Consider the following 17,523-nt stretch of genomic DNA (forward strand, 5'->3'; position numbering starts at 1 on the left):
TCGGCTAACAATATTTTGGTGCTCACTACTATCTAAACTAATGCAGCTAATCACTGCTGCCACTCTTATGGTTTGCTATCTCAGCTTATTATGGTCTTAGAAAACTCTTTTTCCCTTCTTTTGTCTTCTTCTCCTAGATATTTCTCAGCTTTGACAAAAGGTTGAGTTGTGATAACAAGCCAACAAAAATAGTTATTTGTCCCCATTTACCTCAAGAAATTCTTGTTATAATCTAATAAACAATCTATGTGATAATTTTAGAAAGTATTCAATTAATGACTTATTAACTTTTACTAATTTTTTTTTTGCAAATTTACCTATTATTTAATCACTATTATTGAATATTGGCCATAGGTTAAAGGCACTGCTCTAATCACTTTGAATGCATAAACTCAATCCTCCCAATAACCCTATAAATAGTACTAGTACTCCCATTCTGTAGATGAGAAACAGAGGCAAATAATATTAGTTACTTGCCCAAAGTCACAAAACCCGTAGGTGGTACAATCAGAATTTAAACCAGTACATCTCCCATACTTTTTTTTTTTTTTTTTTGAGACGGAGTTTCGCTCTGTCGCCCAGGCTGGAGTGCAGTGGCGCGATCTCGACTCACTGCAAGCTCCGCCTCCCGGGTTCACGCCATTCTCCTCCATACTTTTAATCACCATGTCATACTGTCTCATACATACAACATGGATGAACTGATAGGTGAGCAAGGAAATGGTAGATTAGTTTAAAAAGAATATAGTGATATAACTGATGAGTTTGCTATATTCATTTCAGTTTGCTTCAGTTAAAAAGGTGATTCAATTGGGTTCAATAATCCTCCCACTTTTCCCAAAAAAACATGCTTGTGGTTCTGAACCAGTCTTAAGACTTGCTTTTGAAATGAATACTCACTAGTTTCTCCAGGTCTTCAAAGCCCTGTATCCTTGGTGTAATCAAAGACTAAGCCAAACTTCCAAGATTTCAAAAAGAATTGAAATACAAAGGAAAAAGCTAACTAGTAACATATTTCAATAATTCTTATCCTTGTACAAACAAGATTAGGTAAAACTCAAATCTATTACATCTCTTATTGGCAGATCTGCAAAGTTTCTGATAAAAGGTGAAAATAAAACTACTTTATCAACTGATTTTTTGGAATGTATATCACTTTTTACGCTGTCCCTGTTCAACATCATCAGGAAATACTGACACAAAACCACTACACATTTTAAAAATTATTTTTACAATGTCATTCAGGTAATGGAGTTTCTATAAAAATCTGGACTCAAATGAAGTTGATTATAAAATATAAAATTGTATCAACTTACTGTGTTAAATCTTTCCAGAAAACTGTCATCTCCAAGCAAGACATAGGCTTTCAACAGATATTCATAATATGAATCAATCCCTGCTCCAACTCCACTATCTATGGAAACACAAATGTGATTTTTCATTAAATTTTTTTAAAACCGTTAAATTTTTTTAAAAAAATAGCACTCCTTAGATTAGCATTAAATTAACATTGTGCATATATATGACTACACCAGTTTAGATTTGCCCTGGAACAGATAATTATATTTAAAATAAATAATTTGCTAACTAGTTCATAGTTTAATTAGCTCTTAGTTTCACTAGGTGGAAAATAAGCATCTTGTGTTCTTTAAGAAATTGGTATGTATAAATGAATAGTAAATTCACTTAAATCTTGAGGAAATCTAAAGATGAAGTCTCTTGTTTTGCTTTTTCCTAAAAAGGAAAAAAGAACCAAAGTCAAGAAAAATTAAAGAACAATAATAATATCTACTCTTAAAAAGAAGAAATGTTATCTAACACAAAAATGAAACCTATAGATTCAAAAAAACACCTATTTTACTGTCTTAACCAGTAAAAAAAAAATGATAGGCAGGTGGAGTCTAGACCACTTAGAACTGAACCAACTCTAGACAAAAATGAAGATGGTACAATGCTATGACTGCAAGGAAATGATTTTAAAAATTTCACAGTTTTCATGTTTGTAGCAATATGTTGATGCACAAAATATCAAAAATACAAGTCTGGATTTTTCCTCTTAGGTTTATAATACACTATCAAACTTCTATTTAATGCATTTGTATTTGCATTATAAATGCATTAAGCCTTCTCTGTTTATGTGTATGCTATACAAGCACATACATGCTGGTACGTTACCATGAAAATAATAGTTCTCATCTCAAACTAGTGACTCGTCTTTTTACCCATATTTATATACATTTCATTTCTATTGTAAGACACAACATTTTTCTAGTGGTACATTTAAATCAACATATTATGTTATTTTAAATCTTCATTTTTAAATGAGTCTTTTTAGTGTTATGACATAATGGATTTAATTTAACAGCTGAAGTATGATATGGTAACCACACTGTACTATTTAATTCACAGATGTAGGAAAATATTTGATTTTTAAACTATAACCAAGATGAGACCAGACAGTTATAAGCAGTGAAATACTAGAAAACAGTGAATGAATACACAAGATGACTTTTCATCAGTGGCCATTCAATATTTTGCTTTTAGGAACTTGGAAGAAATTGTCTTGAGTTTCAAATGTTCTGGTAAATCTAGTCATTTCTTAGCTTCCTCAGTATCACCCTGAATTACTGAAATAACTGACTGTGAAGAGTCAAAAGTTCTTTTCTGTCATTTAGATGACACAGAAAAATTTTATACAATACTGAATAAAGGTAATAATTTTAATATGTTTGAATTAATAATTTTATAATTTTTATTTATTTAAATATAGGCAGTTACCATTTATTTTACATATAAACAAGATAAGCTTTTTAGAAATAGAGAAAATGTATAAAAAAGATGCTTTCATTAAGAATATTCTAATTTATTTCCATTCATCTATGCTTATCAGGGTGTTTTATAAAGATAAAATCACAGTTCTTTGTACAATTCAATATCCTGTTTGTTCATATAACATTGTTACATGTTCCTTCCCATGCTCCTGATTTATTTTAATAACAATATTCCAACGCTGATGTAAAATAATTTTCTTAGCTTTTTTTACTGATGGTTAGACTGTTTCCCAATTTTCTGCTATTTATAAATAATTGCATGGGAACATCTTGGGAACAAATAATTTTCTATGTTTTGTATTATTCCTCAGACTAGATTCCCAGAAGTAAAATTATTAATCAAAAGGACTAACATCTCGTTACTGGGCACTTACTTCATAGTAAGTGTAGTACATGCCCGGCACTGTTCTAAGCACTTTACTTTGGTTAACTCATTTAATCCTCATACAGAACAACTAATTACTATTAATATGCCCACTTTACAGATATGGAATAGAGAGGCACACAGAGGTTAAATAAGTTTCCCAAGATCACATAGCTTGAATCCAACAACATGACCCCAGAGTCTATGCTCTTAGCTACTATATTTCTGGAGGTAGGAGAAAAAAAGAATTTATTAAACCCATATTCTTACTAAACCACACCTTGACGTGAGATGGCTGCAGAAATCTGGTTCTCTAGTTTTCAAATAAATTATAGCGTTTCATCTACACCCTATACCTATAATGCTATATCCATTAAGAAATAGAATACTAAATCATGTAGAAGAAGTGTGTCACATTTGGCATCAAAAAAGAAAATCTGGCTAAATTAATTAAAATTCCAGCAATCTTGTGAGAACCTATGCTTTATAGTATCCCAAAGATTATTTTAACAAATGAAAATTCTTTATTTCCCAACCATTTTGAGGATGCAAAGGCTTGATTTAAAAAGCCTAACTTACATACCTTTTCGTACCCAATCTCCAGTATGAATATTTATAGTCACGCCCACTAAATTACTACTTCGCTGTCTTTTTTCCCAGAGAAAATCAAGAGCTTTTCTGGCATATTCCTGTAATTTAAAAAAAAAAAAAAAAAAAAGAAGTGCATATTTGAAGAACTAAGTCTCTTTGGCAAATAGGAAACTAACAAACAAAACTCAAAGGCCGATAGGATATTTTAAGAATTAGGTTAAATTTCTAAGATAACTATTTATAAACAAATTTCCTTAAAACTCAAAGCTTGGCTCTTTTTCAACCAATCAGTGTAGTTAGGAAAGACTCTGAATACACTATTCAGAGGAAGGCTCACTTTGATGGCTCACTTTCATCTACTCTTTTTGTTTTTTCTTCATTTCATCTACTCTTGTAGCACAAGTTCATATTCACACACATGTATTATTAAATTATATTAATTGCTTACATAATTGATATACTTGTTAAAGTAATTTCTACCACTTAAAGGCAAAGTAAAAATCTCCCTAGATACTCTTATTTAGAAAACTGGAAGAGAATTTCAAAGGTAGTATGCTATCTTTGAAAGTCATTTCAGATCCTACTTTTTAAATGGTAAGCAAGTTCATTAGTAAAAAGCTATTAAATCAATTAGGCTACCAAATATTTGATAACAACAAACTTGTAACCTTATGACATGTTTGTCTTTTTCTCATTTATTTTATCTACTAGACACTAAATAAAATGAGTTGTGAACAAATTTTTGGCTTTGGATGAAAAGATGTTACAAAATATAAATGCAAAGGGCAAGTACAGGCAGGTTTCTAAATTAATTTCAGAGCATGAACCTATTTAGCACTGCAGAAGGACTTCTATAAAAGAAAAAGTCATTAAACCCATTTGTCACTTGGCAGATTACAGAGTGTAAAATAGTTATAATTCTTTACTCAAACTATGCTGATTTCTCTTAAACACAAAGCAGGTTATAATTTTAATTAAATGGCAGAATTTCAGAGCCAGGAAACTTCAAAAAGATTTCCCTAGTCTTATTTTACAGCTAAGAAAACAGGCCTAGTGAAATTCAAGATTAGCTAGAGTTTAAAATTGAATTACAGGACAAAAAAATAATATGAGAATTCAGATCTCTTTATATATATTAGACCAAGGGTCAGCAAACCTTTTCGGACAAGAACCAGGTATTTTAAGCGCTATGGGTCACACAGTAAATGGCACAATTACTCAACTCTGTCACTGTAGCACCAAAGTAGGCACAGATAAAAACAAACAATTGAGCATGGCTGTGTTCCAATAAAGCTTTATTTATAAAAACAGGCAGTGGCTGCACTTTGCTCACAGACTGCAGTTTGCCAACCCTGTATTATATCAATGCTTTGTCAACTGCATCTTCTCTGACAACAAATTACTGCGTATTCAAGAATTTTTTTTTTTAAATCATGACTTTCAACAGATTTATTAATAAACACAAAATAGCCCACTGGAAAGAGTATGGGTTTCAAATTCAGAAAGACATGGATTCTAATTCCAACTCCATGCATCATCTACCAGCTGTGCAGGTCTGTCATACTCTTTGAGCCTTATTTTCCTCACCTGTAACTGCATCAATATCTGAGAGTGTAGTTATTAAAGTATGCAAAAGTGTCCACACTTTTTAATGAAGGGAAAATATTAGTGAACAAGATATAGAGCAAAACCTTAAGTTTAAAAGATTAACCAACCAAACATGATAAATCTGTCCTTGAGACATTTGAACATACAGACATACATTCAAAGGCATACATACATACAAAGTCAATTTGTTTTCTTTACATTCAGATCTAGTATCTGTAATGCTACTATACAGTCCCTATTTCTGCTTGTTCTGTTTGCCATTTGTTGAATTTTTAAACATTAACCTAAGTCATATGCTTGAAAAAGAGGGTGCTTTGTGTTACCACTGCACTCCAATGACATGCTTAAATAATTAGATTTTTTTAATGAGAGACATAGCTAGCCCACAACTATGTGGGGATATTAAGTCTTTTGGATAATGAATAACATTTCCCTTGCAGTAAACAAATTTACAGATTACAGTCTCAATCAAGACTTAAGAACAAAAATTTCACTGTGTTTTAGAAGATTAGTGAAGGTTTCAGAACTTTCAGAAGTGCAATATGGAAGTCTAACAAATAAAACACAGGGACATAGTATTTCGTAAGACATTTATGATATCAAGGAGACATCAAATTCATTTAAGTAATATGGCTAAAAAAATTTCTAAGACTAAACCTAAACATATACTTCATAGTTGGTGAACAAAATGCAAAGTTGGATTTAACATAGCTCTCTCACAATGTTCTAGGTTTTTGACAATTAAAAACCATGTAAAGGAATTTAGACAAAAAGTTCACTAAAATAACAGTAATTCTCCAACTAATAATCCTAATATTTAACCAATGAAGAAGATATAAAGGTAGTTATGCCCAATACCCAGGATATCAAAGACCGTAAAAAGCAAACCTCAAATATTGTTGCTCCTGTGAATCGACTTAAAGCAGCAAATTCAAGGATCAAGGTACCTGCACAAGCTGTACAGGTATCTGTCTCAGTTCCTGTCCGAGCTTCTGGTTTTCTGATGCCAAACTTTAAATTAATCTGAATACAATTAGAAAATTGTCATTAGCAGTTATCAAGACAATGACCTTCTGATAAGAAACTACTTTTCAATCAAGTCTTTGTATAAAATCATGAAAATAATTCATAAAATAACTAAACACTGAAATTCAATCTGATGATCTCTGACTTTCCAATTAGCATGTAGGGAAATATATTCTAAGCATATAATATTCATGAAGTAAGTAAGCTTTTATTTCATTCCATCCTCATTGACATCAAAACTCAATTACTTCCCTTGGAGTAAACAAGTGACATGATTATAATCCAAGGGAAATTACACAGAGAAGGTATCTTTTATAACAATTTTGTTCTCTGGACAGTTTGAACTAGTAAGTACAAGAATAGGGAAGTAGACCAGCCTTAGAAGAAATTAGGGTTAGTTTAGAATTTGTGAAAAACCAGTCTATATTATATATTAACTAGTTCACCATAGAGAAAAAACGGATTGTTATGGTATACATTTGAAAGGAAATTAAAATTTCATTTACGGGTTTTAAGAGTTTGGAAATATAGAGTGTATCACCTTGCTGGCAGGCTAACAACACAAGGGAAATTTTTTCAAAGGTGTATTTCTTTATTAAGTGGAAGACAACCAAATAGGCCACGAGCGGTAGCTCATGCCTGTAATCCCAGCACTTTGTGAGGCCAAGGCGAGTGGATCACTTGAGGCCAGAAGTTTGAGACCAGCCTCACCAACATGGCGTAACCCCATCTCTACTAAAAATACAAAAATCAGCCAGGCATGGTTGCGTGTGCCTGTAATCCCAGCTACCTGGGAGGCTGAGGCACGAATCTCTTGAACTTGGGAGGTGGAGGTTGCAGTGAGCTGAGATAGCGCCACAGCACTCCAGCCTGTGTGACAGAGCAAGACCTTTACTATTACAATATGAATCTGGATTAACTAGACTCAAACTGAGCAGACACTGATTAAAATTAGAATATTTTTCAGCAATCCAAATAACCAACAAAAAAGGAGGTATATGCCAAGGATTCAGCCAACAAATAAACAAAAAAAATCAAACATAAAACACATAAAACATCACGGGTATACTCTTGGTTCAGTTATTATTCAAACTCTATATAAAGAGAAGCTCAAAAAATTTATATTTCAACTTATCTGCAGATATCAATTGCTAGGTATACCTAGTGCCTTAACAGTGTCCAATCAACAGATTCCAGGCATTTCTAAACAAACACCCCCTCAACAACAACAAAAAAACAACAAATGTAAAACGTAGGTGAGAGATGGGGATTTGATCACTGTTAATGTTGTTCTCAGTACTGCCATTTATCTTACTTTGTAAAGTGCCACTTGAGACATTTTCATGTGCTATTAGTCTAGCAGTACCCCTCCATCCCCTCCCAAACTTATAATTATCTCTACCATTTGTACTTTTGTAGGATTAGCTAGTTTTAGGTAGTTCTGCACCACAAACAAGAATGAAAAGTATCTCCTGCCCCCTTATGCTGCCTGTATCCCTATCTACAGAACTAAAATTGAAAATTGATACTAAGAATAATTAACCTAAAATGAAGCAATCCTTAATAATAAAATAAAGATGTAATCACATGAATTACACTAAGGTAAAGTATAATTTTACAAATATTTGCAATAAGAATCAACAGTGAAAAATATTTTCTGGTCAGTTCCATTAATTACTACAATCAACTAATCAATATTTATTGCTTACTTACCTACCATGTGGGGGATATTATGATAATATACAAAGGAATAGATCCTTGTCCTCAAGGAGCTTAAAATCCAGACAGAGCAAATAAGACAGATATATAAATAGAGAAAATAACTGACAATGAAAAGTCATAAATTAAGTGCCAAACAAATGGAAGCCACAAGTGCTAAAATGTGAATTTCAGAAAAGGAAATAACACTGAATTGGGAGTAGTTGAGAGCTAAGAATGACAAAGTCTAAGAGTAGTCATAAGAAAGCAAAAGCAAAATAGAAAAGAATAAACATCTCTGTATTCCACTTTCAGTATCTTTTCCCTTAAAATGGAAATACTTTGAATCATGAGCGTTTTAGTACAATAATACTTAAGATGTTTGTATATTGAACTGTACCCCAAGATGACTGCTATAAAATTTGTAAAAGGACTATTTATTAACACAATTATCTATAGTATCTGCTCATTTAAATCTTGTATCCTTCCTGAAGATAAGTGGTATTAAACAACTTTTTTTTTTTTTTAATTTTTTGTGGGGATGGAGTCTCACTCTGTCACTAGGCTGGAGTGCAGTGGCACGATCTTGGCTCACCGCAACCTCCACCTCCCGGGTTCAAGCAATTATCCTGCCTCAGCCTCCCAAGCAGCTGGAATTACAGGCACACACCACTACATCCAGCTAATTTTTGTATGTTTAGTAGAGATGGGGTTTCACCATGTTGGTGAAGATGGTCTCGATCTCTTGACCTCGTGATCCGCCCGACTTGGCCTCCCAAAGTGCTGGGATTTCAAGTGTGAGCCACTGCGCCCAGCCAGTATTAAAGAACTTTTAAATGCAGAACCAAGATGCATTTCAGCATCCAAGAGGCACTACCATTTCCACAAATCAGGGAAGAAGGGTTCAGTGCTTTTTTTGCTTACGGGATCCTCTGGTGGATCTAGGGGCTGGTAGATAGGTTCTTGTCCTCCTGACTAGGACTCAAATGACTGGGTTTAGAGATGGCACTGGTAGCAGTATATATTACTGCAGAAATTAGTAATAAGGAGCTTATTGTCCTGCTTTCTTGAGAGGTTTAAGAAAAAAAGAGATGAAAGTAGGAATAAAATAAAGCATGAGGCAATCTAGAATCTGGTTCCTCCTAATTCTGTGTTCCTGAGAGTCACAAGGCAATTTTAAAAAGGACACTTTTTTATTGCAAAGTAAAGGCATAAATTACCTACACTAAACTTGTTTACACTGTCTTTTTGCTACACTAGAAAATCCTTAAAATATGTATAAATCATAATAGAATTCTTATTAACCTTATATTTTATGGATATAATCATCTACTCAACGTTTGTAATGAGGTCTTATCTGAAAAGCTGGCAAGTTGCTTTTAATTAACTTTGAGGAAATGGCATTACAAAGTACGTACTAGCTCTAAAGTTTATATATGAGTTTAAAAAATGACCAACTCTTACAATACCATTTCTGTACAGTACATTCTTCTGAGTTAAAACCATTAATGCAAATACTATCAATTACATATGCTTATCTAAGAGAGACTGATTACACAAATTTTCATGGGCAAAAGCATACTAAGCATGTATAAGAAAGGATGGGACAGCAGTTATTTTTCTTCTATTGTCCTATTATAAAAAATCATTTTTAAAATTTTCTTGACACTTCAGAGTATAAGAAAATAATATAAGTTTCTCTGTTTTACCATAACGCTCATAGTATCTTCTGTTTTAATTCCTTGCCTGCTTCTCATGTTACGGCAAAAGTAAAGAAATGCTAGATTCCTCAAAATCTAACACCTCCATTTATAACAAAAACTAAAAGTATTTACTAAAAGTAAACTGAATTAAGTAAATGTTTATATATTGTTTAAAAAACTTTGCTTTTAATTTAATATGCTAAGAAAAAAATGATCAACAAATTTAACTGTACTAATAAGCAAAGAAATCCATATTAAAATATAATTCAATTTTTCCTCATTAAGTTGGCAAAATAATAATATACAGTAACGGTTAAATGACACATGTACTTTTACACAACACTGAGAAGTAAAAAAGAATCTTTCTGAAAAGCAATTGGGCAACAAGTACCTGATATCTTAAAAAGCATTCCCTACTCAGTGACTTATTACTTCCTCTTCGAGTAATTTATCCTAAGCAAGAAACTAAAAATGTATAAAAAGATGTGTATCAGAATGTCCACAGAGGCCGGGCATGATGGCTCACATCTGTGAGTCCAGTACTTCAGAAGGCCAAGGTGGGAGGATCTCTTAAGCCCAGGAGTCTGAGACTAGCCTGGGCAACATAGTGAGAACTCCATCTCTACAAAAATTTTTTTTAAAAATCAGCCGAGCATGGTGGCACGTGCCTGTAGTCTCAGCTACTCAGGAGGCTGAGGTGGGAGGATCACTTGAGCCCAGGAGTTGGAGGCTGCAGTGAGCAATGATCACACTACTGAACTCCAGCCTGGGTGATAGAGGGAGACTATCTCAAAACAAACAAACAAACAAAAAGAATGTTTACCAGAGAGCTATTTAAAATATCAACTAGAAATTTAAACAAGAAGAGATTTCATTCTAGTCTGTTTAATTTTTAAAAAGTGCTAGTCACAACTCACTAAATTGATAGGTAAAGCATTGCCCTATATCATGCTATATCTCCAGTCAAGGATGACTTCTTGATGGAGGAAATGAGCCTTATTTGATTTGACTTATATTTGTAGAGAAGTTATGCCGGGTGATAGAGATGGTAAGCCTAAAGGCATGGAATGAAAAAAAAAAAAAAACTTAGAGACTCTGGGGACACTATAGATTGTTCTAGCTGAAATGGAACAATGATTTCACTGGGATATGGAAATAAGAGAGAATGTCAGAAAGTCTACTGCCAAACTACAAAAAATGCTGAAAGTTAAGGGACACTCAATACAATAAAAAGAGCCATACAATTTTTGAAGATAATTTGACAAAAATTAGATTTTAGTGATACTGGTTTTTCAAGTGCTCTGAAGCATAAACCAAGAGAGAAAGAATAAGACAGGCATAAGAAAAGAAAAAAACTGACAGAGCTTGCTAATGGCTGAGGTATCTGTCTTGGATAAGAGGGAGAGAGTAATAGTGTTAATAAAGAATGAGAAATAAATCAGAAGAGCTATTTCCATCTTCAATGGCTTCTTTCCCTCTGCTTTAAATATAAAATTTTCTTAGGGGAAAACCAATAAAACTCCTTCAACTGACTTTATTGCCAACTCTCCTTTAACTATCAACACAGAAGAAATCTTAAAATAAGTGGTTCATTCCTATTTACTTTCACCTACTTTGAATACTTTCCTCTTTATTCACTACAACTTCAAGGCTCTGTTTGCACCCAATTCTCAAGTTTTCTAGAACATTTCCTCCTTTCGAAGTTCCCTTCTTTGGATTTTATAATACTGTACACTACACTACTTCACGGTTCTCCTCTTAAATCTCTGTGTACTTTACTTTCCACTGGCTGTCCTTCCTCCTCATGCCCTCCCTCTGTCCTGTGAGTTCTCTCTCTGTCCTCTCCTTTGGACAGTTAACACCTACATACTAACTGCTTCAATTATATCTTCTACACAAATAATTCTGTGCCCAAGTTCTGGTCTAGCATCTGTTCTTCCTTCTGCAGCATAATCTAATCTGTAATGTAATGACACATTAAAGCTTAAATTTTACATATACACAATGGAATACTATTTGGCCATTAAAAAAATGAGATCCTGTCATTTACAACAACATGGATGGAAGTGGAGGGCACTATGTTAAATGAAATAAGCCAGGCACCTGGGTGTGGTGGCTCATGCCTGTAATCCCAGCACTTTGGGAGGCCGAGGCAGGTGGATCACAAGGTCAGGAGATCAAGACCATCCTGGCTAACACTGTGAAACCCCATCTCTACTAAAAATACAAAAAATTAGCCGGTCGTGGTAGTGGGTGCCTGTAGTCCCAGCTACTCGGGAGGCTGAGGCAGGAGAATGGCGTGAACCTGGAAGGCAGAGGTTGCAGTGAGCCGAGATCGCGCCACTGCACTTCAGCCTAGGTGACAGTGGGAGACTCCATTCCCCCCCACCAAAAAAAAGAAATAAGCCAGGCATAGAAAGACAAATTTTGAATGTTCTTACTCATTTGTGGGAGCTAAAATTTAAAACAATTGATCTCATGGAGATAGAGAGTAGAACAATGGTTATCAGAGGCTGGGAAGGGTAGGTGGTGGGGATGGGGAATAGGGAGGGGATGGTTAACGGGTATAGAAACAGGTTAGACAGAATGAATAAGATACAGTATTTAATAGCACAACAGAGCGATTACAGTCAACAGAAATGTATCATACATTTTAAAACAACTAAAAGAGTATAATTGGAATGTTTGTAACACAAAGAAATGATAAATGCTCGAGGTAATGGCCACCTCATTTACCCTGATGTGATTATTATGCATTGTATGATTGTATCAAAATATCTCACATACCCCATTAATATATACCTACTATGTACCCACAGAAATCAGAAATAAAACTTTTTTAAAGCTTAAACTAATCTAATTATCACATCACTTAGAAGTATAATCAGTTAATTGAAATGAAAATATAAATTTGTTATATAGCTTTGAAGCATTTTTTTTTCAGCCTCAAGCTGGTGAAGAACAATGGCTCTGATCACAAAACTTCATTTTGTAAAACAGCAAAGAAAGTATATAAAGACTCATATTTTTCAGAAGTACTTACTCTTGGATAAGGAAGGCCACTGGTAGTGTTGAAAGCCGGTAAAAGTTTGTAACCTAACTGCTTTGCCATTTGGAGAAGTTCATCATTGTACCACTGCATATATTCACCTTTTTCTTTCAGCATGATTGCCAGGGAGTGCCCACCCAAAAGACCCCTAGGATCACAGAGATGAAACATTATCCATATCTTATAGACAATTAAAAGTTACCATCTAAAAAGGTGTGGGTACTTTGTTATACAATTTAACATATTTAAGGAAAGACAAAAATTACTTAAACATTATTTACTTAACACTGCTCATTTTATGGTAAGCCATTACAATTACAGAGTCAATATATTTTTTAAAAAATTAGATATTCTATCCTGTTGTGAAGTGTTCTGCGTTCTTAAATAGCTTTAATTTTCTTAAAGAAAATCCGAGATACTACATTTAACAAATCTAACAAATATTTTAACAAACTTTAAATTTAAAAATTTAGTTGTATCACCATGAAGTCTTTAACTTAGAATATTATTTAAAACATAAAAACCTCTCGCTCTAGATTAATAAACTCTGTGTAAAACTACATAACAATTTCTTACATTTAATTGAAGAGTAGACTCACTTTGACAAAGAGGAGTTACAATAACATTTAATCAAAACTATAAAAATTAAATAATATTGAAACTTGAACTAATAAATCCTGTAATTTCATCTTTTCAAAATATCCTGGCCAGGCGCAGTGGCTCACGCCTATAATCCCAGCACTTTGGGAGGCCGAGGCAGGTGGATCACGAGGTCAGGATATCGAGACCATCCTGGCCAACACGGTGAAACCCTGTCTCTACTAAAAATACAAAAATTAGCTGGGCATGGTGGCAGGTGCCTGTAATCCCAGCTACTCGGGAGGCTGAGGCAGGAGAATCACTTGAACCAGGGAGTCAGAGGTTGCAGTGAGCCAAGATCGCACCACTGCACTCCAGCCTGGCAACACAGCGAGAGTCTGTCTCCAAAAAAAAAAAAAAAGGCCCAAGAGCATTTCAAACTGTTTGTTGAGAGGTAATCTTATACATTCAGTTTCTTTTGGCTTACCTGAAGAGGTGCTTGGCTATGGTTAACAAACTACGTAAGCTGGTGAAAAAACCTGTGATGAAGCTGACTAATGTTCAACCTATATTCCCTTTTTAACAACATACAGATATTACCTTTCAGTCTAGAGACGTCTGTGAGTGATTAAATACAAGGTAATGCCACAGACTCTGTGTTTCATAATGTTCCAACTTACATCTTTTAAACACAGGAAACTTCTTGCATGATTACCATCAAGAAATAAACAGTATATCCTAAACTTTTCTGATATTAAAATTATAGACTGGGCGTGGTGGCTCACGCCTGTAATCCCAGCATTCTGGGAGGCCGAGGCAGGCAGATCACTTAAGGTCAGGCATTCGGGACCAGCCTGGCCATCATGGTGAAACCCCGTCTCTATTAAAAATACAAAAATTAGCTGGGCTTGGTGGTATGCACCTGTAGTCCCAGCTACTCAGGAGGCTTAGATAGGAGAATCGCTTGAACCCGGGAGGCGGAGGCTGCAGTAAGCCAAGATTGTCACTGCACTCCAGCCTGGGTGACTGAGCAAGACTCTGTCTCAAAAAATATATATAAATAAATAAAAATAAAATAAAATTATAGCTTTAGTGTCTTTCATACTTACCCAAGAACTCTGATGTTTGTTTCAAAGACTGATACGACTACATCGTTATCTAAATTAACATCTCTTAAAACTTTTCTCACTGCATCTTCAAATTCTTTAGTTTTATTTAAAACCTGGGAGAAGAAAATTATGAAATAAAGTTCTTTTCTACCAAGACAAGGAGAAACGTTCCTAGAATGAGCTATTAAAAGTCAGTCTACTTTAAAACTCTAAAAAGTGACATACACAAATAATATTTCTAAGTATATTATAAAAATGTAATAATGTCTAAAACTAAAAAAATTAAGTATCTAATTATACAGCATCTTTATACACTTCTTTGCATACACCGAAATATTATGAGGACTTTGAAGCTACCATCATCAGACCTGTTAACTGGATTCTTAATGACCCAGGCTACATGAGGTGAGTTCTAGTAGAATTTGGCTTCTAAGTCAAAACAAAATTAAAACCCATCCTATTCACCAGATACATTCTAAAAGTTGCTTTTATTCTCAGAAGAAAGCACTTTCTTCAAGGCATGTTCAATTGTTCCTAAACTATACATCACCTGCTAGCTTCACTCCATGGATGCCCTGTTCACTAAGGAGGCTATACAATGTTGTGGTCATACAATGTTGTGGTCATGCCCTGATTTGAATTCTGGTTGTTTCACTCACTACCCTTGTGATCTCAGACAACTTACTTCCATTTCTGAGCTTGTTCCTTCATCTATAAAAAGAGGAAATACCTACTCTTATAGGGTTGTTTTCTTAAATAAGATAATGTATGTAAAATGATTTTAGTAGAGTGTCTGACTTAAGTGCTTAAAATAATTACAACTATTAACCATGCAGATCTAGAATCCTGACTAAACTAAGAATTTTGTAGATTCTTGCAATGAGCAGCAAAAGTAGTCCCTGTCATCACACAGGCTGCTATGATTTTTCAGTCTAAATTAAGGCCGCCCATGAGATGTTACCTAGAGCCTAAGTACATTAAAAGTAGTTTTCCTTTACTTAACTGTTTAATCTCTCCTTGTTTGATAATAATTTGTTGTGCTTTTTCACTTGATTTGATACGTAAAAATTCTAATTTATAAAACATTCCATAAGAGTATCTCCCTAAATTCAGTAAAAGTAAAATTTAGGGTAAGTCCTGACTAAAACATAACATGAAACCTGATTTTAAACTGACAGCTCTCCCTTCTCAATCTCAAAGTCCACATCAAGTGGGCAGTAATAAATGCAGGCACATACAGTGCATCTATCACTTTTGGAATGAGACATAACTGTTCCACTATCCCCACCCTCCATACACATATACATTTTAGTATCACTTTGTTAATCTAATTCTTCTCCCTGGGTTTATCTCCTGGGAATTTTTGCCTCTTGAACTCTTCTAGCTTGTAATCAGACTCTTCCATATGTTTTCTTTAAGGCCAATAAACCAAAAACAAGGCACACAGTATTTTCTCTTTCTCATAGTTACTGTAATATAGTTTGCATATTCCATTAATCTCCAAAAAATGAAGCTGTGACTTTCAAACCCTGACTAGCTAAAAAGATCTAACAATCGTGATTTTTCTCAACCATAACATCTTTTTGAACCAAAGAGCTTTGGAAGGGATGCCCAGTCCCACTCCACAACAACTGAATCAGAATAACTTAGGAGGACCTATTTTTTTTAAATCACAAGTGAACCTCTTAAGCTGCTTTTAGAGTTGAGAATTTTCGTTCTTAAAAAAAAAATACTCCAGTGAAAGAAGAATGCAGAAACAACATTGAGAAGCCCAGTTCCAAAAAATTTCTGATACCCCAAAGGTTTTTTGTTTTGTTTTTTAAATATTAATCACCACTTGGGATATTAACTGGAAGTTGAGAATTATGCCTTAAGGAAAATTCTCACAAAAGCCTACTTTTATACCATAATGATCTAAGAGTAAAAAACTAAAAAGATACTGTATTTAGAAATCATGACATCTGTAACTCAATCTTTCCCCTCTGTCATCACAAACAGTCCTGAACCAGAAATAAATTTCTGTACTATATGAGGTTGAAAAGGAGTACCAAGAAGTGATCACCTGATGCTAAAAATCACTGCTGGGAAAAATTAATTTTTTGCTTATGAACACAGCAATATAAAGATTCTAATTTAACAATTTTGATATCATTTTGGCATGTCATTATGGAACAACATCAATGATATTTTCTAAAGTTACTTTTTTCCAATAGCTTCAACCTCCTTGTCCAAAGGGGGGAAAAAAGGACCTTCCTAATTAAGGTGCCATTACATAAGCTGACATCCCCATAAATTATTTGGGTATCTCTGTTATATTACATAATTCCATTTGACATCATCAACTCAACAGTGTAAAAGATTTATTTAGAAGCAAAGATCAGAACATCTTTAATTCTGAAGGCTTCTATTTCATACTTACTGTGTTATGATCATATTCATAATACTTAAGTGTGCATATCATGAATAAAATAAATCCAAGAAGAGTCAAACCTACCACAAGAGTGTCCAAAGAATCAATCAGTGTCAGAGAAAATCTAAGAAACAAGCGTTAACAAGATATAAAACATTAGAATCCTAAATAGTTTATGAATGTACAAGTAGACTTATCTACATTCTATTGACTGGTAGTTTCTATAAATTAGTACTTCCATGTATCTATAGTACAATGAAACCTATAAGGCTCTGAAAGAAACTGAAAAGCCTTTACATTTATGTTCAATGAATCTACGTATCTTCAAGAGTCATAGAAACATTCACTAGCTCTGAAAACAAATGAAAATATTAAAACATCAACAGTCCAATGTGCTAATGACTTTATAAATATTTTAAAAGTTACATAAAAGTTACATATATTTTAAGTTATATGCAGCTTAACAACTAACTTTTCTCTGATCCAAGATGTAAACTGATTAATCTTTTATAAATGATAACAGAAGGGAATAAAGGAGCATAATGTAATACATAA

At 33.8% G+C, this 17,523-nt stretch overlaps 1 protein-coding gene across 5 annotated transcripts in view; it reads right to left on the bottom strand.

The window, feature by feature from the left end:
• Window positions 1-17,523, bottom strand: part of EDEM3 (ER degradation enhancing alpha-mannosidase like protein 3) — a 64,622-nt gene that overhangs the window by 29,736 nt on the left and 17,363 nt on the right. For all 5 annotated transcript variants that reach the window (NR_135118.2, XM_011510012.2, NM_025191.4 and 2 more), the window contains 6 exons: window positions 17,053-17,092; window positions 14,559-14,671; window positions 12,865-13,018; window positions 6,283-6,417; window positions 3,779-3,884; window positions 1,317-1,414 (listed from right to left, as the gene is read on the bottom strand). Coding sequence is in view for 4 of the 5 variants with exons in the window: in XM_011510012.2 (XP_011508314.1) it covers window positions 1,317-1,414; window positions 3,779-3,884; window positions 6,283-6,417; window positions 12,865-13,018; window positions 14,559-14,671; window positions 17,053-17,092 (646 nt within the window). In the remaining variant the exon portion in view is untranslated. The remainder of the gene's footprint in view (window positions 1-1,316; window positions 1,415-3,778; window positions 3,885-6,282; window positions 6,418-12,864; window positions 13,019-14,558; window positions 14,672-17,052; window positions 17,093-17,523) is intronic.

The sequence above is a fragment of the Homo sapiens genome, chromosome 1 (genome assembly GCF_000001405.40).
Source record: "Homo sapiens chromosome 1, GRCh38.p14 Primary Assembly".
NCBI classification, from domain to species: domain Eukaryota; kingdom Metazoa; phylum Chordata; class Mammalia; order Primates; family Hominidae; genus Homo; species Homo sapiens.